Genomic DNA, 27,084 nt, shown 5'->3' with positions numbered 1-27,084 from the left:
ATTGCCCCCCCCTCTGACATTCCTTGCCACATATGGGGGTCCCGGGGGCCACTACACCTCTGAAATAAGAGGCAGGGAATGCCAGGACCCAGTGTTGGCCAGGGAGGCCTCTTTCTGCTCTTCCAGCAGCATCTCCCGGGTGTTGTGTGCCAGGATGGAGGGGCAGGGGACACTGAGCTCCCCAGGCCCTACAGTCATCCAGGGGGTGCCCCTGATCCTCACCCACCAAGCTCTGGGCATTAACCATCATGATTCCCACCACATGTTCTAGTACTTTCCTGACCTTGCACCCACAGAAAGTCCCTAGGAACCCCTCAGGTGTCCCATGCTCTGACTCTGTAAGGGGCACTTTCCACACGTTGGGGCAGGAGGCAGCCATCGGGGGGGTACTCCTCCAGGGATGCGTGTTCCTTCAGCAATGAAATTTAATCAGCAGCAATTAATTCTCTGTCAAGAAAGCCCAAGATTTTGTGCTGGAAGGGGAGAAAAAGTGACTAAATCTTTGATCAAACAAGTCTCTGTGCTGAAGGGTAGATACAGTTAACTACTTTTACTGGTGCACCGCCGCGGCCGTGGGGTGGTGGAGGGTGCCTTTGCACCTTCTTGGGCCGCTTGGGGAGGCAGTGGTCACGTGGCCAGCCGTGTTAGACCCTCTAGACAACAGCCTGTCCTGGGGAGAGGCCGGACAACCTGGGTGAAGGAGGCGAGGGGTGGCTGGAAGCCCCCAGGCAGGCTGTGTGATGTGATATTGTCCCTGGTCTATGGATACACCCCTTTTCCCATCCTCTTCTGTGCTGTGATCTCAAGAGGACAATAATCAGATACTGGACCCCAGGGCTCTGGTGAAGGCTGCGGTATTGATTCTACACACTGTGTGTGTGTGTGTGTGTGTGTGTGTGTGTGTGTGTGTGTGTTTGAGAGGCAGAGATTGATTGATTTGGAAATGTGCCCACACAGCCCCAGAAAATGTGGTCCTAATAGCTAAAGCCCATCGTTAAGAAAATTTAAACCAGCCATTCAAGTTAGTCACCCTGGCCTCCCCACCCTAAACCTCATTAAGAGGTCAGCAAGGTTCTGGAAATGCCCCATTCAGGCTCCCCTGATGGCATCCACCAGCAAGCACCCAAAGCATGGACGCCAGGATGGCAGGAGCCCTGTTCCTTTTGCATCAGGCTGCAAGGAGCCTGGGAGGCGATAGGCAAGAGGGCGCTGCCCAGGACCACATTGGGTGAATGGCATTCAGAAGCTGTTTGCGAGGATGCTGGCACTGAAGCCTTGGAAATGCGCGTGAGTGTGGTTGTGGCCAATCTGGTCAGGTCTTTGGTTCAAAGAAAGGGTTGCCCATGACCGCAAGGGTTGGCTTCCCCAGCAAGCACATGTGGAACCAGTTCACAGGGGCCCCGCCTGCCCGTGTCAGCCTTTCTGGCTCCTGCCCTAGAGGACATGGGAAACAGGTTTGCCCAAGAACCCCCTGAGGAGTAACCACGTGCCGCCCAACACAGGCTGCTCTTGGGAAAGTACACTTTTTGCCACTGTCATGACAAGATACAGGCTGTTTGGTAACGCAGTTGGTGGGACACAAGGAAGGCTTAGCCCCCAACCTGGAGTGGTCTAGAGCCCCCCATCCCTGCAGGGATGCAGTGGAAGCCTGGGCAGTGGATGCTGCTGTCCTGACAACTGGTTTCCATGGACAGCAGATGAACGAGTGCCTGGTGCCCAAAGCTTGCTTCAGTGAATGTGACCATCGTCTCCCGTTGGGTGGTGGCACAAGAGCCCCAGAGAAACTGAGTCTGGGTGGCTGGGTATGGCTAGGCCACCCCAGGGTGAGATCTGAAGCCCAGCACGGTCTCCTATTCTGTGGGTCCCGCAGTGTGTGAGTTTAGTCTTTCTGGACCTTTTCTGCCATGCCCTGGGGGGCTCTGTTGGCGGCTGCTGTTGGAAGGGTATCGGAGTGCATGGAGCACTGAGCTGTCCTTGGAGACGTTTTGTCAAATATGTTTTGTGATGATGGTGACACCGGGTTTCGGTTTTATTTCCTCAGTGCACCCCTGGGCCCCGCTGAGAGGCTGGTTCCCTTCTGTCTGCGTTTCCAAATAACCTCCTCCTGGGGCTCTCAAGTCCAGGGAGGGAGCTGCAACATTTGGAGATGGGAAAGGAAGGCGCTGAGGCCTGCCTGGGAGACTGCTGGCTGCTGAGGGGCCCTCAGAGTTCAGAAAATGGGAAAAGAGGGGTGATTCCCCTAGCAGGAGAGTCCTGCCCCCAACTCTGCCCCTACCTCAATAACAGATCGAAGTCGTACAAGGTGGTCAGTTTATTCACACACCAAGTGCCTGTTCCGCACAGCTGGATGCCAGGCCCGGTGTGTGGGTTGAGGGGAACATGGACACCAGAAGATGCCCTGCCTGACCGGCCCTAACACGTCTGTGGCCCAGGATGCGCTGTCTGACACGGCAGCCCCGAGCCCCGGGGAGCTCCTCAGCACTCACAGTGCAGCCAGAGAGGTGCTGTGATGGGGACACACGCGCTGGGCTTCAAAGACTCCGTACAAAGAAAAACATGTACACCATCTCATGCATGGTTTTTACATTGATCACATGTCGACCTGACAATGTTTAGAATGTATCAGGTTAAGTGAAAAAAATTAACATGAATCTCACGTGTTTCTTTTTACTTTTTTTTTTTTTTTGAGACAGAGTCTTGCTCTGTCATCCAGGCTGGAATGCAGTGGCGGGATCTTGGCTCATTGCAACCTCCGCCTCCCAGCTTCAAGCGATTCTCCTGCCTCAGCCTCCTGAGTAGCTGGAACCACAGGCACACACCACCATGCCCGGCTAATTTTTGTAATTTCAGTAGAAACGGGGTTTCACCGTGTTAGTTAGGATGGTCTTGATCTCCTGACCTCATGATTCGCCCACCTCAGCCTCTCAAAGTGCTGGGATTACAGGCATGAGCCACTGCACCTGGCCTCTTTTTACCTTCTTAATGTGACTACTGGGAAATATAAAATTATATGTGTGGCTCCCTTGCATTTCCACGGGACAGAGCTGGTCTTGGGGCAGCAATGTCTGCCGACACAGGTGCCTCGTGGAGCGACGTCCAAATACGGAAGTGCTCGTGGAGGTGTTTAGAAAGTGTGGTGGAGGCTGGAGGTGTTTAGAAAGTGTGGTGGCAGGGCACCAGAGCACGCAGGTAGAACCCAGGCTCCTGTTCTGTTGAGGGCCACTGTGGATCCATTGCTCACCAAATGCATCCAAAATGCTCAGCTTGGTTCTCAGTGCAAAGCTGGTGCCCCACGATTTCCAGCCCCTTCTCCTGAGTGCCTGCCCCTCACCCATTTTTCTCCCATTTCCAAAGGACAAATGCTGCAGTAAACGGTCCCTGCTCTCTGGCTCAGCATCTAGGAAAGGCTTCCAAGAGGCCAAGGAGGCTCTGGGCAGACCCCAGGGGTTGTGCAGCCCTCTCCCAGGCCAGGGGCGCTGACAGCCAGGGCCACGGTCAGCAGGTCCAGGCTAGGGCCCTTCATTGTGAATGCACAGCCTGTCGGCCACCTTCACAAGAGCCTTGGATAAAGTGTTCCTGTGAAGAAGATAATTGAAAATTAAAAAAGACTTTGTTAATTTGATTAGGCAGAGCCGTAGTTGAATTGTTCTTCATCAAAAGAGATTTAATTTTGACATGCAATTAAATCCTTCTGCTGTAAGATCTGCCCCGTGTGCTGGAGATGGGCTTGGCAGCCTGGGGGAGGGGTGGCAAGGGGGGGATTGTGGAGATTTGTTAGGTGGGGGAGCCAGACGGGGAGGGTTAGAGATGCTGAGGGTTGGGGGAAAGATGGAGATGATGGCCATGCGGTCATGGACTAGGAGAGGAAGGGGCTGCAGTGGGGCTGTGGGAGGTGACTAACAGAGGGACTCAAAGAGGGATGGAGGGGAAGAATTTGGAAGAGAAGCAGAACAGCAGAGCCGGGGATGTGCGGACAGGGAGGGAGAAGCTGTACCAAGGAGGGTGCGGGAGAGGCCGCGGCAGGAGGAGCTGCAGGACGCACATGCAGACTCGTGCGGGCCTGAGAGCCGCTCTGTGCTTCTTAGGTGGGTAACTAGAGGGAGGGGACTGTAGGTCACATGTGAGGACCCGGATGGCATCTTGGGGGCCTGAAATCATGAAACACCCTGGAGTCCGATCTGGACCGGGAATTGGATGTGAGGGAAGCCATCTTCGGGGGCGCAGATGAGTCCATCCGGGATTTGCGGGGGCTGAGCTGTGTGGCCCTCACCACAAGCGCAGTGTAGCCCTGGAGCCAGCTTCCCGCCTGGAACGCCGGCCCCTGAGAGGCTGAGTCTCCGAGGTCCCTGCTCACCCGTGTTCATTCTTTCAAGGCCAGGGTGTAATTCTCTCTGGTTAAAATGATAGTGGTGTTTGACCAAAACAGCCATCCGTGCTTAATGTAGAAAATCCAGGACATTGAGAAAGGTGTGAAGATGGAGACAAGTGTGTGTCTCCCTTAGGTGAACGAGGGAGGACCTTAAAACAAAACGAAAACGGGGTAGAATCAGAACACACCCCTTCTTCGACTTTTCCATTCATAGGAGGATTTTGTGAGCTCTCGGAAGTAGGAGGTCATCCCCGAGACCTGAGTCCCCAGGGCAGGCAAGGAGTCGGGAATTCTGGCAGTGACCCCACAATGTGCGGGCCCATCCTGAGCCCTGGGAGTGAAACAGGCAAACCCTTATTTGCGTGGAGCTGAGCAGCCACAAATAAGCAAGCGCATGGCTGGCTCACCCCGACGCGTGCCATGGGACGGTTGCCCTCCTGTGCCAGGATGGGGCTGGGAGTGGCAGAGGTGGTGGAACGTGTCCATCAGGCTTGGGATGGACATCGCCCCTGTGACAGCTTCCCCAGTTGAGAATCCCCCTCCCCAGGAGGCATGGCCAGAGTCAGACCCAGGGCTGGGACACGGAACCCAGGCTCCTACCCGCTTTCCGAAGCTTGTGCAGCCTGGACGGGGCCTCTGGGCCCTGGGGCTGGAGCAGAGGCAAATAGCAGGTGCCGGTGACCAGACTCCCCACCCCTGTACCCACTGTGCGGCTGTGGAGAGCAGGATCCATGTTCCCTGCCAGCCTTTCAGTGGGGAAAGGGTTCCGGGGGCGAGGCTGAGATCAATGTGCTGTGATTAGCAAATGTTATCCATTAGCCCCTACTGGAGAAACTTGGGGTAATTGTGTGAAGTAGCTGCATTAACATGGGACACAGCCTGGCTCCCAGGTGAGGCTGGGGGACAGGAGAGTGCAGAGCAGGAGAGCGAGAGGAGGTTTCTTTTTCCGGGCCCCCCACACAGCCCCAGCACCTGGGAGGTTCTGTCCCGGGCTCAGCCCACCCATCCGAACCCTGTCCTTGGCTTCCTGGGGTCTGTGAACACAATCCCAAAAGGGCGGCCACGGGTTATGTCCTAGCGAGTCCGACACCTGGGCAAGTGCGATATTTTTTAATGCTCTCAATCGTATTATTTAAATATATCCTCTACCTGTTCTTGGGATGGAAGTTATGGTCTGGGGCATGCCTGTGTCTAACTCATGTGTTACTAAAGTGGGATCCCCCTCATGAAGCTAGTCCAGGCTCCAGAAAGGGAGTCAGCTGCTCTGTCCCTTTCTCTGAGCCCCTCTTGGACTCTTCTAGGAGAAGAGTCTTCTAGGACCAGTGGGAGAGGCTCAGTTCTTTGTGTCCAGAGTGGTGATGAGGGCTAAGCCCCTACGGGGAGGCTCGGTGCTTTCCAGGGCTCTGGGCTCGGTGGAGACCCGCTGGGACCCCTGATGCGCCCCCCCTATGAGATGGATGTGCTCTCAGAGGCTGTGTTGGGAGTCACGGGGTCCGGGCACTTGTGCCTTCACAATCCGCTTCCTCCATAAAGAAATATTATAGTTTGTGACTGCATTGGTATAAAAATGAATATATTCCTATCCTATATTAAGACACTTTCCCTAACCTAAAAGTTTATTCTGTTTTTAAAATAAATGAAAGTATTTGTATGGGCCCTGGGCCTGACGGAGATATGCCCTGCCCCCTCTCTAGAGTGCTGGGAATTCTCAGGTGACCCAGTCCCGCAGGCAGCCAAGTGCCCACACATTTCCAGGCTGCCCTCCACCAGGGCAGCGACCTCGGGTCACCAGGGACACGCACACCTAGAAAGCCGTGGGCTTCTGCAGTTTCCAAAGGGATGCAGGGCAGAGGGGCAAATAAAGGACCCCAAGCGGTGTCCCAAGCCCCTGATTACAATGCTGGCACTCAGAAGCTCGATGCCCCTCCCCCGTGGACACAATGCCGTTCTGGCTCCCTGCTCCGGCTGTCACCGTGGAACCGCCTGAGTGCAGCTCTGCGTCCTACCAAAGGGGAGTTCCTCGGCCGCCGCACCTACAGCATGGGTGCGATGGAGCTGTCAGGAGGATGTCACCAACTCGGAGTGATGTCGCTGAGCATGGTGTGTGTGTGTGCGTGCGCATGCCCACGTGCATGTGTTTCTGTTTACAGGTGGGTGTGCATGTCTGTGTGTGTATGAGTGTGTGTGTCTCCACATGGATGTGTTTCCGTTTACAAGTGGGTGTGCATGTCTGTGTGTAAGAGTGCCTGTGTCTCCGTGTGCACGTGTCCATGCAGGGCTCTGTATGCGTCTCTGTGTAATTATGTCTGTATGCATCTGTGGTCCACGTCTCTGCATCTCTGTGCGTCTGTGTAGTGTGTGTGTATCTTTGTGTACACGTGTGCTCTGTGTGTCTAGACAAATATGCAAGACCAGCTGGGCAGTGGAAAGCCAGAGCCATGCCCCAGAAGTAGCCTAATTAGGAAAAGGAGTCTCTAGAAGGAGGGATATTTTGTATTTTGGTCTAGGGTGTTTTGCCCACTGCGGTTTCTCTAAGAACAACACGGAACACCCCCAAACTCAACCTGCAAGCAGGCTGGAGGGAGCAGCGAGCCTTGGTCCTCAGGAGGTACTGGCGGGAGGGCAGGTGTCGGGCTCCAGGCTGGGGTGGCACTGAGCAAGGGAGAAGAGAATGGGGGCTTCCCAACCTCCCACATCTCGGGGTTCCAGGGAGGTGAAAATGGAACCCTGAGAAACCAGATTGTCCTTGTGCTCACGATGTCTCCACAGTGGAGAGACAGAAAAGCGAACAGGTGAAAGAAGCACCCCCATCCCCCTGCGAGCCTCCCCACCTGCTGAAAACAAGGTCCTCAACTCATGGTCACTGGACCTGGAATCTGCACCCCTCCTCTTCCTCCAGCCCCCGTGCGGCCCTGGCTGCAAGACAGCAGCTCCCACTCCTGAGAGCTGAGCAAACACGCAGTGGGCTGGGCCGGGGATGCCCTGGTAATTTAATTGAGTCAATTTGCTCACGGTGGAATATGACTTCTCTTACAATATTTTGAAAAAGAATTCAGCTGAACACTTGGCTGTGTGTGTTTTGGGGTGGGGGTTCCCACCTGAGGCCCAGCTTTCTTCATGTTGGCAGCTCCAGTCTCCCCAGTATCTGCAGAGAGAGGGTCCTGCGGGTGCCTGGCCGGCCCCTGCCACCCCCACCTTCCCTCTCCACCCACACCTCCTCTTTGCTTGTGACCCATGACTGGGAAGGCAGCTTCAGGAACAGAGACCGGACTTTCTCTCTCCTTTCCAAGTGGGGCCAAAAATGGGAGGAAATCATTTCATTCCAACCAGTCGATTCCAGGCTGGGAGTCCCTGGGACCAGTGGACAGAGACAAACCTGGAGAAGGCAGTCTCCTCGCCCAGGGGCTGCTGGAGAAAGGAAGGAGGGGGTGTTGACTTGGGGGACACAGGGCCACCATGCTGCCTGGGAGGGGGTCGGCTGGGCTCTGGGGCATTCAGACTCCACATCTGGGCATGATCAGGACGAGAATCGTCTCTACATTTATTGTGCTTTCACTGTGTGCTGGAAATGGATCTTCATATTCTACAAACAGAATCTCACTAAATCCCTGCTCCACACTGTGAGGGAAGCACAACTGCACTCCCCGTTTTACAGCCAAGGAAACTGAAGCACAAAGAAGCTAAATAACTTGCCCGAGGCCACACAGCTGGTGTGGGGCAGGGCCAGGATTGGAACCCAGGCACCCGGAAGCAGGCAGGCTCACCTTGTCATGGACCTGACGGTGAGGGGCCGTGTCCTGCAGCCTCTGGGCTCAGCGGCCCCTTTCAAAGGAGGGGTTTCATGCTGGCAGTGAGGTTGAATTGGGTATCAGAGTTGTGCCCCTTATGGCCTCCAAGGGGGCAACTCCATCCCCTCTCACCCCACCTCCATCACTGCAGCCACTTGCCCGAGTCTGCTCAGCCCCCAGAAACTTTTTGCACACCTGTGTGTCCCACCCTGAGTTGAGATGGCAACAAGGTGGCAGAGAGCTCTCCCAGAACGCTGCTCCCTCCCCAGAGCCCAGCACGTCACCCTGCTTCTGGGGCCTCCCCTGGGGGCCGAGAGTATGTTATCCCTGATTACCCTCAACACTCCCCAAATACACACCCTCAACATCCCCAGCACTGAAGAGCTTCGTGTGTGTGTGTGTGTGTGTGTGTGTGTGTGTGTGTGTGTGTCTTCTGTCTTCCTAACTGGACCAGCAGCTTCTTAGAGGGAGGGCCCTGTCCCCTCTTTACCCATCCAGCCTTCCACAAGTCTCTGCAGCGTGGGTTGATCCATAATCAAGGCTTGTTGACCAGCTGCCTGGGAAATGATTTTCCTTCACTGACTCTTCTCTGGAATCTCCTGGAGGAAACTTGTCTTGACCAAATGACGGGATTTAGGAGGACCGTGTTCCTGCTCCCGGGGATGTCACATTACTGTAGGAACACAGGGTGTCATTCAATGGCAGGGACCTGGTGTGCTGGCTCTTGGCGAGCCCAGGGGACCAGGATCTGGCAAGGTGAGGAGAGTGGTGCCCTTAGGCTGGTGGAGCGGCAGGGGAAGGGAGGTGGGTAGGGCTGGGGCAGGAGGGAGAGAGGGAAGCAGCCGCAGCTTGGGGCTCTGGGAAGAAGGAAGCCACTGGGCTGAGAGGAGCAAGGGCTGTGGATGTTGCCTGGAAATAGAGTAAATAGAGTTTCTTTCAATCAAATCATATTTTAAATGCACTGGGGGAGGCTCAGTCTGTAAAGAAGTCTTGCCAGAAATCTTTCCCAGAAAATAACCCTTTTGCTAAAGGCAAAAACACTTTCCTTAAGTTATCTGTTTTGATATGGAGTGTTCTTAAAAGCCAGGCACACCTACACGTGTGAAAACAAGGAGAAAGCCCGCAAACATGCGAACGGAGCCTCAAGCGTGTACACATGTGCCGTGCGTGTGCCAACCTCGCTGCGTGTACCTGGGCGCAGCCAGCTCTCGCATTTTCTCATCAGTCTGGTTCAATTTAAATTAAAGCAAATGTTGAAAGCCCTCCCTTCCAGGTTTTATTTGCTGCCCTAAGTCTTCAGCAGCAACTCATTAGCTTAATGGGTTTTCTTAATTCTCATCTATTAGCAGATCCTGTTTCTGCATGGAAAGCCGGTCCTTTCCAAAGAAGAAAGGCTCAGCCTTGTTCTACCTGGACACAGAGCAGCCTGCCCCCGCACCACCACCCACACACCAGCCCCCTCGCCTGGAAACCCCTCTGGGAGATGGTGGTCCCTTGCCCTGGGAAGCTGCGGCTTCTCGTCTTTACTTCTCTCACGCCCACTCTCCTCGTCAGCCCCTCCTCTCCCTGGAATCTGCTCCATGTAGAGGAAGCAGCTGCACCAGGTGCTTAGAAAACTCATCACAAAGCCAGGCGAGGTGGCTCACGCCTGTAATCGCCGCACTTTGGGAGGCCGAGGCAGGTGGATCACCTGAGGTCAGGAGTGCGAGACCAGCCTGGCCAACATGGCGAAACCCCGTCTCTACTAAAAGTCCAAAAATTAGCTGGGCTAATTATTAGGTGGGCCCCTGTAATCCCAGCTACTCAGGAGGCTGAGTCAGGAGAATCGCTTGAACCCTGGAGACGGAAGTTGCAGTGAGCCGAGATCGCGCCACTGCACACCAGCCTGGGCGACAAGAGTGAGACTCAGTCTCAAAACAAAAACAAAAACAAAAAAAGAAAACTCATCACAAAACCGTAGGGAGATGGGAGGAAACTGGTCCCTGCGCTCAGCCTGCCCTGGAGGAAGGAGGTTGTGTCCTTCCAGGGTGGCCCGTGACTTGCTGGGCAGGTGGTAGGCCCGGCTCCTGCTCGGGGGTTGAGGGGGAGCTCTGTCCAGGAGAAAGCAGCCGTGTGGAACTCACACATAAAAATGATGCTGGCACCCCAGGGGCCTCCAGTGTGGGCTGTAAAACCACCGAGACAGATTCAGGCCAGCAGGCGTCAAGTCCTCAGATGGAGTGTTTGCGAAATGCTCAGATGTGTGTTCAGGTAAGCACCCGTCTGGCCCCTCTGACCCATTTCACAGAGCACTTTGGAGAAAGGATTTCAGGTGTGTTCTGAATGGAGCCAGGATGGGTTCAGGCTGGTGCTGCCATTCATGATCAGAGGCTCTGAGCACGTGACATGCTCCCACGCCCAGCCCGAGTGCCTGGTAGGGTTGGGCTGGGTCCTTGGCAAGCCCCCTTCCCTCTCTGAGCTTCATTTTCTCCAAATGGAAATGTGGGGAGAGGTGTCGACTAGGCCCTTAAGGAGCTGGAGTTGAGTATGTATGTGTGGGGGCCGTAGGGGTGGGGAGGACAGAGGGAAGAACTTGGAGGGGTTCATGGACCTGAGGCCTGGGCCACAGCTGGGGGAGTCCGGTGCATTTGTAACACATGGAAATGGGGTTGGAATCAACCTGCTCCCCTGCCGTCACCCCTGTCTCTGCAAGCTTTGGAGGCCAGGCCTCTGCCCCACCTGCTGAGAGGCGACGTGAGCTTCCTCTTCCGAGGAGTGAGATAAAAGTCCAGTGGGCCGGCCCCATCCACCCTGGGCTGGGCTCTAATTGCTGGCCCTTGTTCCTTATCAGCCCCTGACTCCTGCCAGTCCCCGCCCACCTTCTGCCCTGTCTTGCTCTGCGTTATAGACTCATTTCACGCAATTGCACCAGAAAAATCTCAGGAACAGACTCATGTTTTCTGTCAGCTTCCCCCAGCACACCTGCGGCCAGTTGGACACGCAGCTCTACCTCTATGCTGGTTCCTCCTGATGCCCACGCAAAGGTGGGCAACAGTCCCTGCCCAGACTCCCCTTTTTCTGGAGCATGAGAAGGGTTAATCAGGTGTGTCTCACACGTCTGTCCCTGCCCTGCCCCTGTGGGTGGGGAGGAAGTCCCCAGGAAACATGGGGGAGCTGACATCCCAGAGCCTCCAGCCAGGAGACTGGGCTGAGCTAGGCTGTTCATCCTGGCAGGGATCTGGGGGGGATTTAGAATGGAGAAAGACCCGCAGGGGTGGGAGCCCGGGCCAGGCCTGGCCTTGGGAGCATCCATCACACAGAGGCGGAGCCATGGACTGGCCCATAAGTCCAGGGGGGAGACATAAAACTGGGGGGTCATAAGACTGAGGAGAGCCATAGGATGGGGGAGCCCATAGGGCTTAGGGGGATCCACAGGATGGGGAGGTGGGGCCTGTAGGACCTGGGAGGAGACATAGGATGGGGGGGATTTGACAGGGGGGGGTCTATAGTATAGAGGGGCTATAGGACCCAGGGGAGCCATAGGATTGCCGGGGATAGTATGGGGAGGCCATAGGACAGGCTGGGGAGCCAGCTGACAGAGTCCTGCGGGCAGGCAGTGCTGTCCGGGGCAGGCTGTTCCTGGGGAAGGAGCCCTCACAGCACCGGGCAGCGCATTGCTGAGGGCTGCCGTGGCCACAGTCATCCTCGCAGTTACTGGCGTTTAGAGGGTGCATTCACCGTGCTAGGCCCAAATGAAGCGTCTGCGAGGAGGGTCTCCTCGAACCTGCCTGTAACTGAAGCGTCTGCGGGGAGGGTCTCCCCGAACCTGCCTGTGGGCTGTGGTTGCTCTGCACCTCTCCTTGGCCTGCTTAGGAGCCTCGATCCTCTGATCCTGGTTTTGGTATGAATTGAACAATGCTTTCTGCGGGGACAGCCAGCTCCCCATCTCAGTGTCGTGACACAGCAGAGACACGCTTCTCACCATGCCAGGTCCCTCAGGGCACGGCTGACCAGGGCGAGGCTCTGCTCCCAAGGGTGACCCCAAGCCCCAGTCCCTCCCACTTGCAGGATCTGCCATCTTTAACACGTGGTTTCCACATTTTCGAGAAGAGGAAAGAGCGTGAGGGCTGCTGGGGGTGTCCTGGAGATGACACGTGTCCCCCCACCACATTTGGTTGGTGGGACCTTCCTCATCGAGTGGCCCCTAACCCTAGGGACTGCTGGACACTCTGGGCGTCTCGATTTTCTCTTTAAACAGAGTGGTGTCAGGAGCAGCAAGGAGTGCTCTGCCTTCAGGAGCCAAAGCCCCTGATAGACTGCATGGGGTCTATGGAGCCCAGCAACAAGGGCCACTCTGCAGCCAGGGAGCTCTTGCCCCCACAGGGAGCAGGAAAGGGGAGGGCGAGCATGGGCACTCAGCTGAGGAAGACGGAAGCCCTGGGCTCCTCTGGAATCTGGCCACGGGCAAAGCTTCCTCATTTGTTCTAAAGCAGCAAGATATTCACAGCCCTTCGGATGTGCCCATTTCACAGTGGAACGTACCAGAACCTTCCAAACCCAGGTGCCCAGGCAGAGCAAAGTGGGGTTAATCTGCCCCATGGAGGCAACAGGGCCGCCACTGTGGCCCCTCGCCATGGTCCCTCAGTGAAGAAAGGCAGAGAAGGAGGTCCCAGGCCCCAGTGCAGAGCAGGTGGCCCAGGGACACCCAGACAGGAGGAGGGACACCGTGCTGGCCTGGGAAGCCACCCCACCGTGCATGCCTCCCCAAGTCCCCTGCCGTGCATGTCCCCCTTCCCTCCCTAACCCCCTACCGGGGGAGGAGAGGAAAGGTGCCTTCCCAGTCACAAGCACCTGCTGGGAGCTCCAGGTGTTCTTGGCTTGGCCCCACATGGGGGCACTGGTTTCTCCAGATAAGGTGCTTGGCCCTGGGAACTAAGGACCCAGAGAAGCATGTGTGTGCATGTGCCTGTGTGCATATGTGAGTGAGCTTGTGTGTGAGTGAGTGTGACTGCAAGTCAAGGTGTATGCATGAGACATGTGCGTGTGTATGTGAGCGTAGGCCTGTGTGTGTTAGTGAGCACGTATGTGTTAGTGTATGTGACCGTGCATTTCAGGGTGTATGAGAGATGTGTACATGTGTGTGCCTGTGTGAGTGAGCACACATATGTATGTATGTTAGTGTATGTGACTGTGCATGTCAGGGTGTATGAGAGACGTGTACGTGTGTGTGCCTGTGTGAGTGAGCACACATGTATGTATGTTAGTGTATGTGTGCATTTCAGGGTGTACCAGAGACGTGTACGTGTGTGTGCCTGTGTGAGTGAGCACGTGTGTGAGTGTATGTTAGTATGTGACTGTGCACATCAGGGTGTGTGCATGTGTATGTGAGCATGTGAGCATGGTCGGATGTGTCCACCTTGGCCACAGCATTGAGGTGGCAGCAAGTGCATTCTGCAAGTGTCAAGTGAGGCCCTGGGTGGGGCTCAGGCACTGGGTGGGGCTCTGGCCCTGCTGGGAATGGGAGGGCTGCACACGTGGCAACCCGGGCAGAGTGGTGTCTCCAGCTTTGCTTCCTTGGGGAATCTATCTGGAAGATTTTCTGACGTCCAAGTGCTGTCAGTGACTTCTTTCCTCTTGGCTCTGTGAGCGTTGGCTCCTGGTGAGAGAGGTGCTCTGGTGATGATGGGGTTGGCACCAAGACCTGGTCACCACAGAGCAGGGAGCATCAGGAAGGGCTGGAAGCCAGCGAGGCCCCAGGTGTGAACTCCCTTGCTGGCCAAGAGCCTTCTCTTTGGTGGGATCCCAAACTCCATCTAACGAAGGGCGTCTGGTGGGGCTTAGAGGAGAAATGTGCACCTGCAGCCCAGTGCTCACCCTCAGCCAAGGCCACTCTGCACCGACGTAGCTGGAATTCTCTCTCCGTGGGAGCTTCTTTGAGAGGGAAAGAGGGGACAGGAGGGACAAGGCCAGGGGATAGACACTCAGATGTTTGACCAAATCTCCATCCATCAGGGCGGGCAGATGATCTTTCCCGAGGCTGCAGAGAGAGCCTGAGCTGGGGTGGCACCAGGAGCTGCAGGACCTGAAAGGCCCTCTAGGGAGAGGGGAGGCAACAGCAGTGAAGAATCACCTGGAGACACACGTGGGCTCCCAAGGCCATTGCGGGCAGAACTGACCAAGATGGTGGTGGCAGGGGAGCGGCTTTCAACGCTAACCAGAGCAACACCAACCATGCCCCAGAACACACACCCAGAGTTTGGGGTGGCAGGAAGGGAAAGGCCTGGGAGGAGGCGCCTTGTGTATGCCTGGTGTTCGAGGGGATCCCCAGACAAGCCCTGTCTTGCTAAGGCCATTTGAGTTCTGGGGGTGAAAACAGCAAACCCTCCGAAACGCGTGTCCTTTGCCCCCAGCAGTCACGGCAAGGGTCACGGTCAGGGTCCAGGGCAACCCCTCTGGTGAGCCCCCATCAGCCCCTCCCCGGGGAGTGGGGGCAGACTGTGGTAGAAACTCCGGTGCCTTTGGGTACAGATGTGGAGGTGGCGCCGTGCCTGGGGAGGTGGGAAGATGGTGTTGGCACCCGGTGCCACAGGTCAACCCCGGCTGATGGGCAGCCCCTCCCCACCCAGAGTTGCCCGTTGCTCGTGTGCTTGGAGAGTGGCACAGTGCCACCGGATGCCCACCAGCTGCACTGGGCGCAGTGAGACAGCTCAGAGCAGATGCCCCCAGGCTGTCCAGGGGTGGCAGAGCTGGTGTGGTTGGAGCCCCTCCTCGCTCTCCTTGTGTGGTGGGCCGTGGGCTGGATAGCAGGCGGCGGTGAGCGAGTGACTGGGATCTGCCTTTTCCTGCCTTCGTGAAGCCCATGGCTGCATCCTGTCATGGGCCCTGTGTGGGCCATCTCCTGCCATCAAAAAATAGTGAAAAGTAGATTTTGCCACAGTGTGGATACAAAGACAAAAGCATCGTTGGCCCTTAAAGTTCATTTTATCTTCTCATTTTAAAAGAAATCATGACATTTCCATGGCCCTAATGGTGTCAGCCCTGGCTGAGGATCAACCTCCCGGACACCCGTGTGTCTGGCTGGAGGGAGGCTGAGCGTGGGGCCTCGGACCAGCATCGGGCTGGTGTGCGAGGACCTCTGGGTTGGTTGCTGCTTGGAATCTGGTCAGCTCTTCCAGCACCTTCTCGGATGGTAACAATCCAGGGAGTGGTGTCTTTCATGGCAACATGAGGTCACCCACCCACGGGCTTCTCAATTGTCCTGCAGAGGAACTGAGACCAAGGCAGCAGGTGCGGGGAACCGGTGGAACCCACGACTGACTCCCAAGTGTGGCATTTTTGTCCATCTGCAAATGCGGGCGTCCTAGGTTTGGAAATGAACACAGTTCAAATAGCATTGTGAAGCCACATTGGGAAACCCAGATGCAGGACAGCACGCAGGATCCTGGCTTCCTGGTCCCCCACCTGGATGGTGTGGCCTGGCTACAGCCCCAGGCTGGTGGAGGGGGAGGTCTCTCCTCAGCTGCTGCTCCTACTGGACCCCTCATCTTTGCAGCTCCCTTTGCTTTAGATAAGGCTCAGCCCTTCTGCAGAATGACGTGGGCACGGCTGTGGAGAGGGGAAAAGTTGTTCTGTAAGAGAACCCATCCCGTGGGATCCCGTGGAAGGAAAGACAGGGCCAATGCGTAATAAAGGATGGTGTGGACAGGAACTTCTGTCCCCACGCCTCTTAATCTCATTAGCAGGAAATGAAAGCAAATCCCATTGGGACTAACCTTGCCATGTGCTGAGAATCTCCTGTAAGAATTTCAGGTGTCCCTGACCCTCGGTTGTTGTTTGTCTTTGGCTGAAGTTAATTCCCCAGCCCTGAATGCACACAGAGTCATGCCGGGATGTCCCAGACATTCGGAGGCAGGAGAAACCCATTCATAGTGAACGATTGTCGGTGGATTGTCCACAGTGTCTGCCTTCAGGTGAGCAGCCTTCCTGGGGGGCCAGGCGGGCTCTGATTCCTCCTCTGTCACATACCTTGGCTGCCACAGAGACCCCCCAAAAGAGCTGCCTGTCCGGCCCACCATGACACCCACTGGCCGTGGCTCCCTTTGCCTGTCCTCCCCGGAGGGGTGGATGGTAGTGCCATTTTCTCCTCTGCTGCATCCCGTAGTAGGTGGCTGGGGAAATATTTTCAAGTTACTGGCTGGGAGTAAATCTGACTTTTGCAATCTAAACCTTAAAACCAGGGAAAGCGGACTCTTCTTACTGTGTGTCTTCTCTTGTCTCGGTCTCTCCTGACACCTGTAGCCCAGAGCTCATGAGTGCTCATCGCTAACTGCTGGGTGATACATGCATGAATCTGGCCAATGTGATTTGCGTTTTGAAGAAGGATCAAGCAGTGGGAGAAGGTCGGGGGACTTGAGGTGGAGGAGGACTGGAGGGGAGGATGTGGAGGAGGAGTAGGAGGAGGAGGGGGAGGAAGAGGAAATGAAGAAGAGGAGGGGAAGGGGGAAGAGGAGAGGGAGGAGGAGGGGGAGGAGGAGGAGATGAAAGAAGAAAAGGAGGAGGGGAGGAGGGAGAAGGGGAGGGGAGGAGGGAGAGGAGGAGGACTTCGAGGAGAAGGAAGAGAAGAAGGAAAGGAGGGTGTCTGAGGCTGGGGTCCTCCGGAAGCCGACTCTGCGAAGGTGACATGCAGGCCTGGGGTCAGCACTCATGTGGGAGCGAGGGCAGCAGAATTGGGCAAGGGAGGTGTGAGGCTGTGAGGCAGTCACAACACGGTGCAGCAGACCTCTGCGTAGCTCTGGAGCTGCCCCACCTTGAGGCAAAATGGCATGGCCTTTGTACCCCTTTGCCCACCTGTCATGGATGTGGACCCTCCCCAGGGCCCTTGGGCGAGGTGGCTCTCTCTGAGGACAGTACTCTGGGAGGGACTCAGCTGAGAGCCTTCAGCTGCCCAGGGTCCCAGCAGCTGGGGTGAGAGCAGCTCCCCGGAAGGGGCTCCAGGTGGGCCAGCACAACATCTGCTAGGAAGGACAAGGGTCGTCCTGCTGGGCTGTGCCCCAGTCCTGCCAGTGTCCACAGGCAGAAGCCTTCCAGCTCCTCAAACATTGCCTCTGCTGGGCTGGGGCCCTGCATTCATCCTCCTCTAGTTGAGCAGATGCTGGGCTGGCGGCGAGGCGGCTGGGATCGACTGTGCACGATGGAAGGGTCAATAAGGCACTGCTCGTTGGGCTGGCTCTCTCGCCGGCAGACAGCAGGAGCTGGGAAGTGGTGCTCTATTCATGATGTTTTGATTTCTCAGGCTCTGGGGACACTGACTTTGATAGATTGAGACGTGGCGCCGGCATAATATACCATAAAATCACAGCTCGCTTTTAGAGCAGGCGTTAGCTGCCAGATCCCACCCATTCCTTTAGAATTAAATAAACACTTTAAAGAAAAAGAAACGGCTTAGTATAGAGACAGCCACGGTCTGCAGGCATGAACAGGTCAGGGAGTCACTGGCTGGGCTCTGCTGTTCTTTATACAGAAAGCAGCCCCTTTACCAGTGATGGTGCCCGAGATGCCTGATCGTCTACCAGAAAGACTAGTGCGGTGCCTGGGCATGACTTGGACCACAGGCTGATCGTGGGTTGCTTCTCGTCAGCTATGCAGCTAGCTTTCCTAGTGACCGGGTTGATTGATGCCTCTGTCTTGCTGGTTTTGAAGCTTGCTCTACTTGCTTTCCCTAAGGTGACTTTCAGCACAGGGGCTCCAGGCTGCAGCATGGTGTGTCCCCTGTGGGCAGAAGCATCCCTGTGTGCTGCCCTCCTGGTTTCAGATCAGAAATGTGCAGTGGCAGGACATCCGTGGCGTGGTCATGACGCTGATGGCGTCTTTGGTGCAAGAGTGTGGTATCCAAGAAGGGCTGCCATCTCCATGGTTACCGGGCACCCAGAGGTGTGGCCGCTGTGCTCTTGGCAAGCCCCCTTCCCTCTCGGGCAGCAGACACTATAGCCCCTTGACCCTGCCAGGTGCCTGCCCCTGCCCTCTTTACCTTGTGAATTCTGTGAGCTCTAAATCAGATAGCAGCGTCCCCATAGAATATGGGGTAAAACTATTTAATCTACATTGTCAGTGTGGGGAAGATATATTCCTTCAGGTTTATTTCTGTGGAAGGTGTTATCAAATATGCTGGTGATTCATGTATGGGAAACATATTCCGTTAAAGCATTTTTCACCTGCCGCCGCGCCGGCTTCAGTGGGCACTCATTGTCTCCTGGCTTGCCGTAATCCATTTATCTGGTGTTCGCGTGGGAGCGCCAGGGCCGCGCTAGAGCACATTGGAATTAAGTATGAATTAAATGTACTATTAAAATAAAGTGTTATCACAGGCATTTAATGAGTTTTATTCTTTAACAGTTTCATTTTGCAATTTTTGATGCCCAGGCAGCTTTCTATTTCATTTTCTCTTAGTGGATTTTCATTTAGGAGTTTGTTGTATTACTTAACATCAAAGGGGATGCTATTTTTTCCCCACAGTTACAGTCATCCCTCCCACTTCTGCTGGAGTGGATATTTTGTTCATAGGAGGATGAAACTGGAACAAGCCAAAGTGATTTTTTTAAAGGAGTTGAAAAGAGCAAGGAGTTAAGATTTTCCCCAGAAATACCGTGTGCATGTGCATGAGAGAGTGTGTGTGTGTGTGTGTGCGCACATCCAGAGCAGAAACTAAAGTGTTGAGGGTAGAGAGGCTTTATTGGGGGCCCAATAAATACCAAGAGACAAGCCTCCCCCACCAACTCTAGTTAATGTGTCCAAGACTGGCCCAGGGAGCATCCTGCCCTTTGCTTGGATGCTGCCTTTCTGAGCCTTGGGCTGACTGCTGCCCAAGCACTGCAGCTGGGTGGCTCCTGCCCAGCCACTCCCTGGGCACCAGGAGTCAGCCTCACATTGACTGAGTGGTTCTGGCCACACAAGGTAGCCTCTCCAGCTGAGGGAGCAACCCAGGCTGTAGGTAAGGCCACATGCGTGGGCTGGGTAGTCATCCTGGGGCTTTGCGGGGTCCTCTCCCTGGAGGCTGTGCTGGATGGGCTATAATGTGTTCCTCTAGGTCCCCAGCCCCATATGGTGTCCCCCATCAGTGGAGAGCGTGCTTCCCCACCAGAAAGCAAACAGCAGGCTATCCGACCTGCTCACGCCCGCTCCCCGTCACCCACCAGCACACCCTCATCCTTCAACCCCTGGCCCCTTTGTCTTACGCATCTTTTCATCCCCAGAGCTGCACGCAGTGTCTGTGCAGTCAACACACTCATTAACTGCGCACTGACCCATCAGATGCCTGGGAGACGTGCTTGGCCTGGGAGAGCAGCACTGTCCCCAGCTGCAGAGAGCATCTCTTTCCTCGCAGAGTTCAGAGTCCACCTGCATCTGAATGGCAGCTTTATCTCCATCAGCCCCGTCATTCAAGGAACACCCAAGCGTGTGTCTTCTATAGACTGCAAGTCCAGTTCAGGACTGTCCTAAAACAGCATGCCAGGAACAACAGGAAATGGAGATTTGGGATTTGGTGATCCTGTCAACTGATGGCTACCATCTCTGCTCACTTTGTGCCAGACCTACTCTGGGCAGGCAGGTGGAGCAGAGAGGAAGGCTGAACACCAGTTCCCACGGAGCCTGCCTTCTGGGCATGGGGCTGTTTAAATGACTGAGTGAATGGTCCCAGAGTGGTGCGTGCTGTCCCGAAAATCCATGGGGTGGGTGGCTGGTGGCTGTTTCCTGTAGGGCTGGATTCTCTGAGGACCTGGCATCTGAGCTGAGGCTTGAGAAGGCACAGCCCCATAAAGCCTGGTGGAAAAGGAGGGCGTGGTGGAGCACAGGCTGTGATTTGTGGAGGAGCTGGAGGCCAGGGTGGCTGGAGTGGAGTGGGTGAGGGGGACGAGGTGGGGAGAGTTAGGGGCTGCAGGAGCCCGTCGTCTGCTTTATCCCAGTGCAGTGGACAGCCCCAGAGAGTTCTGAGTGGGGCAGGGGTGCGAGCTGATTGACCTTCCTCAGTCAGACCCAGGCTGCTGGGGGGCGGACGGGCTGAGCATGGAGGCTGGAGGGCTCTGGAGGTGTTGGGGGCTCTGGAGGCGTGTCGGAGGTCCCTGAAACACCTGCTGGTGGCCTGGATACTGGCATCAAGGAAAGGAGGGAATCGAAGGCCCTAGATCTTCGATTGGGCCCCTGGGTAAGAGGTATGTTGCTCGCGGAGACCCCCCAGGGAAGCTGGGCAGGAACAGGAAGGGGAATTGAGCCTTGTGTTGGGCATCCTCAGAAGATCTGAGATACTTCTGAGATACTTCTGAGGCTTCTTGAAAAAGCCGAGGAGGCAGCCAGACAGAAGAGTTTGGAAGTCTGGGGTGGAGGTGACCAGGCCTGGGAACACCTTAGCCCCCTATTTCCAGAGGGAACAGCCCACAGACTTCCTGGGTATCCCAGGAATCCTGTTCCTCTCCCTGGCGTTGCCAAGAGAGTCTCCATTCACAGCGCATTTGCCCTTTAAAGAGTCCCCTGGTTCTTCTGCACATTGACCCTAACTGTCACCCGTGAGCCATGTCCCCTCTCTGTGCATCAGCCTTGCTGGCACTACAGAACCCCTGGCCACGCTCAGGAGTGCAGGAGCCACCTCAGACACAGGAGTCATGTGCCTCCCCTCCATCTCCCCTGCAGGAGCCACGTGCCTCCCCTGCGGCTCACTATGGCCCAGAAACCTCGCATGTGCAAGCGTCATGCCTCTGAATTTTTACTTTCCCGTAATTCTCCGTTTTCTGCACTTGGAGAAGGTACTCTGGCTTGTGAGATATTCTGGGGCTTACCCCGCTCCAACCCTAGAGGGGTCCTGGACTCAGGACAGGACATCACCAGCATTTGGGGATATAGATTGGGGAGTGGGACCTCTCACACCTGTGTGGCCTCGAAGTGTCCGAGAATGAGGTCTGCACACAGAGCCGGGCGTTCAGGGTTGTCTGATGTTCCCGCTTTACCCCTCTCTCATAGCTGTGGCAACAAATTCCAGCTCTGGTGGCCTTGAGCAGTCCCAGAGCTCCTCGGAGGCCCCATCCCATGGTCTCTAATGAGCCTGTGCAGCTCAGAGCCAGTGGAGATGAGGTGCCAGTAACTGGCTCCGTCACAGGAAGCAATTGCCCGGCAGGCCGGCTCTCATTTTCCTGGGGCGCCAGGTATTCAAGCTTTGCAAAGAGGCCTCTGGGCCCCTCACACGCGGGACATAAAGGCTCCCATCTCCATCCCAAGCCACAGCCAGGCCCCTGCTGACACTGCTCCCCCTGCTCCCCTCAGCCTAGTGCCATCCAGGCCCAGCGCAGGTGGCCTTCCACGCCCACCGCCACCCCCACCCCCTGGTCCCCTGGGTGATCCTCTCCCCATGCCTCAGAGCTGGGGCTCTGTTTGGCTCTGAAAGACGCTGCACTCAGCCTCTCCCACCGTCCTACGCAGACGCTGGCCGGGGATCTCAGCCAAGCCCTGAAGGGCCGGGATTCTGGCTTCAGAGAAACGCAGGGAGACAGATGCATTTTCCCAAAGGCAGGAAAATATCTGAGAACCTGGGAAGCTCTCTGGGGCGCTCACCTCAGGCTGAAAGACCCCGGTGTGAGGCAGGAGGCAAACTCTGTTGGCTCAGCGCTTGGCCGTGGCCCGTGGAGGGCTGTGTGTGAGCTGGCAGTGGAGTGGATTCTCTCGAAGGGAGTGATCTGTTACCCACCACATTTGCGCTTTGATGACTGAGTAAATACGCAGCAGGCAGGGAACATTCGTCCAAGGCAGCTGTATTATTTACAGAGAGACTCGAAGAATCTCGGAGAAGAGCCAACACCGCTTGCATATTAAAATGGAAATGGCAATTAACTACCAAAATAAGACATTTTTATAACATTTTTATTGAAGTTTTAATGAACAAATAAAGAAACAGAGAAATCTGCCTATGCCTTGTGAGCCATATAAAAATGACTAAATCAAGATGAAATGGCAAGAACTGGCAACACCTCCACTTCCTCTGCTTCTCTAAATAAATAAGTGCAGGCAGTTACACTGGGTACCCCTGCACAGCGCACACACGTGTGCACACACACATGACCTTGGCCCAAAGACCAAGAAATGAATGATGGAGTGAAATGCTGTTTGAGGGCAGAGTGAAAGAGAGGGGATGCTGGGAGGAGGAGGAGAGATGGACGTGGGCTGGCATGTCCCTTAGGGAAGCCCTGGACAGTGCCTGGCAGAGCTGCTGATCAGCTGGGCCCTCTCCAGCTGTGGCACAGAGAGCCACGCGGGCTCAGGGGCAGGAGGTGGTGGCCAGGGTGTTGGCAAGGTGCTGCAGGTCCTGGTGACTCCAGTAACCAAGGGCCACCGTGAGGGTCCTCCCAGCATCTGAGAGATGTTTAATCTTTCCACAAGGAAGGCAGTGGGGGATGCAAGCTCATGCCACCTGCACAGAGCTGTTAGCGGGTAAGCACCTCGATGAGCGTCTCAGATAGCCCCGATGGCAAATGGATCAAGGCGCCAACCAGCAGCCTGGGGAGAGGGAAGAGGCCAGGTCGGGCAGTGGCAAGCCGAGGATGGGATTGGTCCAGGAGAAATTGTCTGCAGATGGGTGGGTCTGGGGAACAGCCTGATGTTAGCAGAGGGAGGGTGACAGCTGTCTGTCACCCTCTTTCAAACCTTTGGAGCCAAATGTGTGTCTTTCTTGACTTAGGAGGGGTTCGGCCATTTATTCCTTTCCCTTCCTTTGCCTGAGACGTGAACTTCTGTTTCCAAAAGCTGATGTTCTTCCCAGGCACGGTGCGGCATTCAGCAGAAATAACCCGGACAGGCTTCTCTCTCCCAACAATTACTCACAATACACAAAACACAAATTGGTTTACAATCACACCTCAATTTTATCACAACTAATTTCAAACTCATATTGCCACTCCCCTTCCCCCAACATAATTTAATCTGTTTCTTAAAAAAAAAAAAAAAAGGAATTTGATCCAGAGCAATTTTTCTCAATTAAAATTTGTGATTACATTTCTGAGTTTCCATGGCAGAGTTGTGAGTGGGGCTGTGATATAATTTAACTTCTCCTAAATTGCTGACACCGATAACCCTATAAATTAACAGATGGCGGAGGGAAATCTCCTGGCTTCTTCCTGGCTAGTTTTTTTTAATGGTCTGATTTTTGTAATAGGGGTTTTGAGTCCCAGCCAGGTATCCCTCCACGGGCAGCGGTGAGAGCTTGTCCCATTTCATCGTCTCCGATGCTGGCTGCGTGGATTTCACTTCAATGAGGATGGAGTGTCAAGAAAACTGTTCACGTCCCTGCTGAGCGCGGGCACCTTTGCAGAAGCTGACGGGTGGGGGCCCCAGGGTGCGGCGCTTGGCGGGGCTGGTGAGCAGCTTCCAGTGGCACCTGTTGGCGGGATTGCAGTCTGATGAGCGTGCCCAGCTGGGTGCAGGGTTCCCTGCAGGTTCCTTGGTTCCCTGCAGGCCCAGGCTGATGGGCCAGGCTCTCTGTTTCCAAGCTCACTGCTGCACCCTCGCTTTGCTTTTGTTGGTTGCTTCAGATATCGATATCGTTGTAAGGGTGGGAAGCTGGGCTAGCTGGCCACACCCCTAAAAACCTCCAGTACCATGAAGTATTTTTGTTTCATGAGCACAGCATGCTTGCTATGTTTCATGAAGTTAAGGTGCATGGAGGTCGGAAAGAGAAAAGGCAAACACCCAGTCATAAGGACACTGAATACCAACATGAAAAAAAAAATAAAGAAACATCAATGACCTAGGCCGGGCATGGGAGCTCACGCCTGTAATTCCAGCACTTTGAGAGGCCAAGGCAGGAGTATTGCTTGAGCCCTGGAGTTCGAGATCAGCCTGGGCAACAGAGCCAGACCCCCTGTCTACAAATAATACAAAAATTAACCAGGCATGGTGGCGTGCACCTGTAGTCCTTGCTGCTCAGGAGGCTGAGGTGGGAGGATCACTTGAGCCCAAGAGTTTGAGGCTGTAGTGAGCTTTGATCACCACTGCACTCCACCCTGAGCAACAGAGTGAGACCCTATCTCAAAAAAAAAAAATGACCCAAATTACGAAGTGCAGGAGATAGTCAAACCTGGCAGAGCCACCAAGAGGCCCCTGCAGAGCCAGCCCTCCCTGGAGCCCCATCCTATGGTCCTGCCTTAGTCGGGGTGGAGAGGTGGGTGATTTTCTCTTCTCTTCCAAGGAGTGTCTGCTAAATTGTTCAAATGTGATTGGCCTGTCTGGGTGCAGAGATTAGGAGCCAGCGGGGAGGCAGGTGCCGTGCCCTTCCTTCGAAGGCTATGCCTCACCTTCAGCAAAATATGCTCTTTGGAATTTGTGGGGGAGGATGTGGAGAGTAGCTTGCTAGATAAAATAAAGGCTGCTCAGTTAAATCTGAATTTCAGATTAACAATGAATAGTGTTTAGTGTAAATATGTTCCATGCCATATTTGAGATAGACTAGTACTACAAATTATTTGTTGTTTATCTGAAACTCAAATTAAGCTGCATATCCTGTATTTTTCTTTGCTAACACTGGCAGCCCTGGGGAGGGGCGGGGTAGGCGCTGCAGTCAGCCAAGCCCCTCAGCTCTTGCCCTGAGCCTGTGGGGTCATTAAGAGGTGGATTAGGGATACGTTTAAATCCGTCTAACCCATTTGAATCTTACTTCCTCACTCATAAAATACAGTTGTAGAGAGGATTACAGGATGTGTTGATGGATACACCTGGCCTGGTGCAAACCCACCCATGGAAGTTTCCAGTGCTCTGTGCCTCCCTGGGCTGGGTGTGGGGCAGGGGGCAGCTTCCCTGTGCCACTCGTGGTGTCTGCTCTGCGCGAGCCCTCTGGGGGCACTTGGGAAAAGAGGGAAGGATACTTTGTTCTGGTTCCCAAGTGGCTCTCGAGCAATTGGCAGGAAGGTAGAGCTGATACACATGAGAAACCCAGGGATCCTGATGGCGAAATGGAATGGCCACACCCTGTGTTGGAAACACTGCCTGTGACTATAACTCAGAAAAGAGAGAGAACCAGGCCGAGCACGGAGGCTCACACCTGTAATCCCAGCACTTTGGGAGGCCAAGACAGGCAGATCACCTGAGGTCAGGAGTTCGAGACCAGCCTGGCCAACATGGTGAAACCCCTTCTCTACTAAAAATACAAAAATTAGCCAGGCGTGATGGTGCACACCTGTAATCCCAGCTACTAGGTTGACTGAGGCAATGGAATTGCTTGAACCCGGGAGGTAGAGGTTGCAGCAAGCCGAGATCATGCCACTGCACTCCAGCCTGAGTGACAGGGCAGAACTCCATTTCAAAAAAGAGAAAAAGAAAGAAAAGAAAAATGAGAGGAAGTGTAGACTTGAGGGGTTTCATGGAGGAGGTGGGATTTTGCCTGAGTCAGAAGGGAGGGCAGTGTGCCGATGGTGGGGTCTCCCCACGGCGTGAGCATCCTCGCCAGTGCTGGGGAGGGGAAGACGGCTCTAGCTCACTACCTTCCCCCTTGTGCCTGTTGTTAGGTCCCAGAGGGATGAAAAATAGCTTCTTTGGGGCCAGGCACACTGGTCACACCTGTAATCCCAGCACTTTGGGAGGCCAAGGCAGGAGGATCTCTTGAATCCAGGTGTTTGAGACCAGCTTGGGCAACATAGGTGGACCCTGTCTCTACAAAAAATATAAAAATTAGCTAGGCTGGTGGTGTGTGCCTGTGGTCCCAGCCACTTGGGAGGCTGAGACAGGAGGGTTGCTTGAGCCCAGGAGCCCAGGGTTATGATGAGCTATGAATGTGCCACTGTACTCCAGTGACAGAGCAAGATGCTGTCAATAATAATAATATATAATAATAATAATAATAGCTTGTTTGGGATCTGGTAAGTGGAAGTTACTTAAATACTAAAGTAAAAAAAAAACTTCAATTTACTGATTTTTTAAAAAAATGAACTTAATTGGTAAACATTTGTATTGACTTGGAAAGCAGTAAATAAAAAAAAAACACCCTTGAGGTAACAAAATATTTCTCTGTCTTTTTACAAATTCAACAAACGCACTTCATTCTTCACCACCCCCCTATACCGCCCCCCTGCGCTTTAAACTCTTGCCTTTTCATTTAGCATGAGGAGTGAAGTCGTCTTTCAGAGTTTGTTTTTTGTTTGTTTGTTTGTTTTGAGACAGAGTTTTGCTCTGTCGCCCAGGCTGGAGTGCAGTGGTGCAATCTCGGCTCACTGCAACCTCCACCTCCTGGGTTCAAGTGATCCTCCTGCCTCAGCCTCCCAAGTAGCTGGGACTACAGGCGTGCGCCACCACACCCAGCTAATTTTTTTTATATTTTTAATAGAGACAGGGTTTCACCATGTTGACCAGGCAAGTCTCAAGCTCCTGACCTCAGGTGATTCACCTGCCTTGGCCTCCCAAAGTACTGGGATTACAGGCGTGAACCACAGCTCCCAGCCTCTTTCAGAGTTTTTTAAACATTGGAATGAAGCTTTACTTTTGCTCCTGGCTAGTGTTTGTTTTGTTTCGTTTTTGGGCAGCTTACAAGTGGCGCTCTTTCTGCTTAAAGGCGAGTGTGCTCATGTGCAAGCACAGACACTCTACATGTGCGTACAGCCTGCTTGTGTTTGCGTTTTAGGATGTGTGTGCAAGAGCAGCAGCCACAGCACCCGGGGAGGCCGAGTTTGTCACCAGCGGGTGTGGGCGTGTCTGGGGCCCCCGTGGGGCTAGGACAGAGCAGGAATGCCACATGGAGGGCACCGGCTCCCCAGTTGTCACTGCCGAGTCTCTGTTGTGAGTGCTCAGGGGGACACTTTAGGACATAGCTTCTCAAGCAAGAGGTGGGTAGCCAAGTGTCCCATCTCAGTGCCACTGGGAGGCTCAGCCCGACAGGAGCTGGCTGAGGGGGACGGAGTTGCAGCAGGGGCAGTGGCTGGCCCAGGC

At 54.7% G+C, this 27,084-nt stretch overlaps 1 protein-coding gene across 58 annotated transcripts in view, besides 2 other annotated features; it reads left to right on the top strand.

Moving 5' to 3' along the window:
• The window catches only part of RBFOX3 (RNA binding fox-1 homolog 3), a 576,227-nt gene that overhangs the window by 281,626 nt on the left and 267,517 nt on the right, over window positions 1–27,084 (top strand). The window lies entirely within an intron of this gene.
• Window positions 10,049–10,212: a silencer, noted in NCBI's record as "fragment chr17:77369816-77369979 (GRCh37/hg19 assembly coordinates)". NCBI's record gives its function as "represses an EF-1alpha promoter that drives an FKBP-Casp9 reporter gene in an ReSE screen in phorbol 12-myristate 13-acetate-treated (for megakaryocytic differentiation) K562 erythroleukemia cells {active_cell/tissue: K562(+PMA)}" and the evidence as "EXISTENCE:reporter gene assay evidence [ECO:0000049][PMID:32094911]".
• Window positions 17,162–17,662: an enhancer, noted in NCBI's record as "H3K4me1 hESC enhancer chr17:77362366-77362866 (GRCh37/hg19 assembly coordinates)". NCBI's record gives its function as "activates a minimal SCP1, AML or CMV promoter by ChIP-STARR-seq in primed H9 embryonic stem cells {active_cell/tissue: H9 hESC(primed)}" and the evidence as "EXISTENCE:reporter gene assay evidence [ECO:0000049][PMID:30033119]".

Source organism: Homo sapiens, chromosome 17 (genome assembly GCF_000001405.40).
Source record: "Homo sapiens chromosome 17, GRCh38.p14 Primary Assembly".
Classification (NCBI taxonomy): Eukaryota; Metazoa; Chordata; class Mammalia; order Primates; family Hominidae; genus Homo; species Homo sapiens.
Note: the sequence above shows the minus strand (reverse complement) of the source record. Positions and strands in the feature narration are given on the sequence as shown.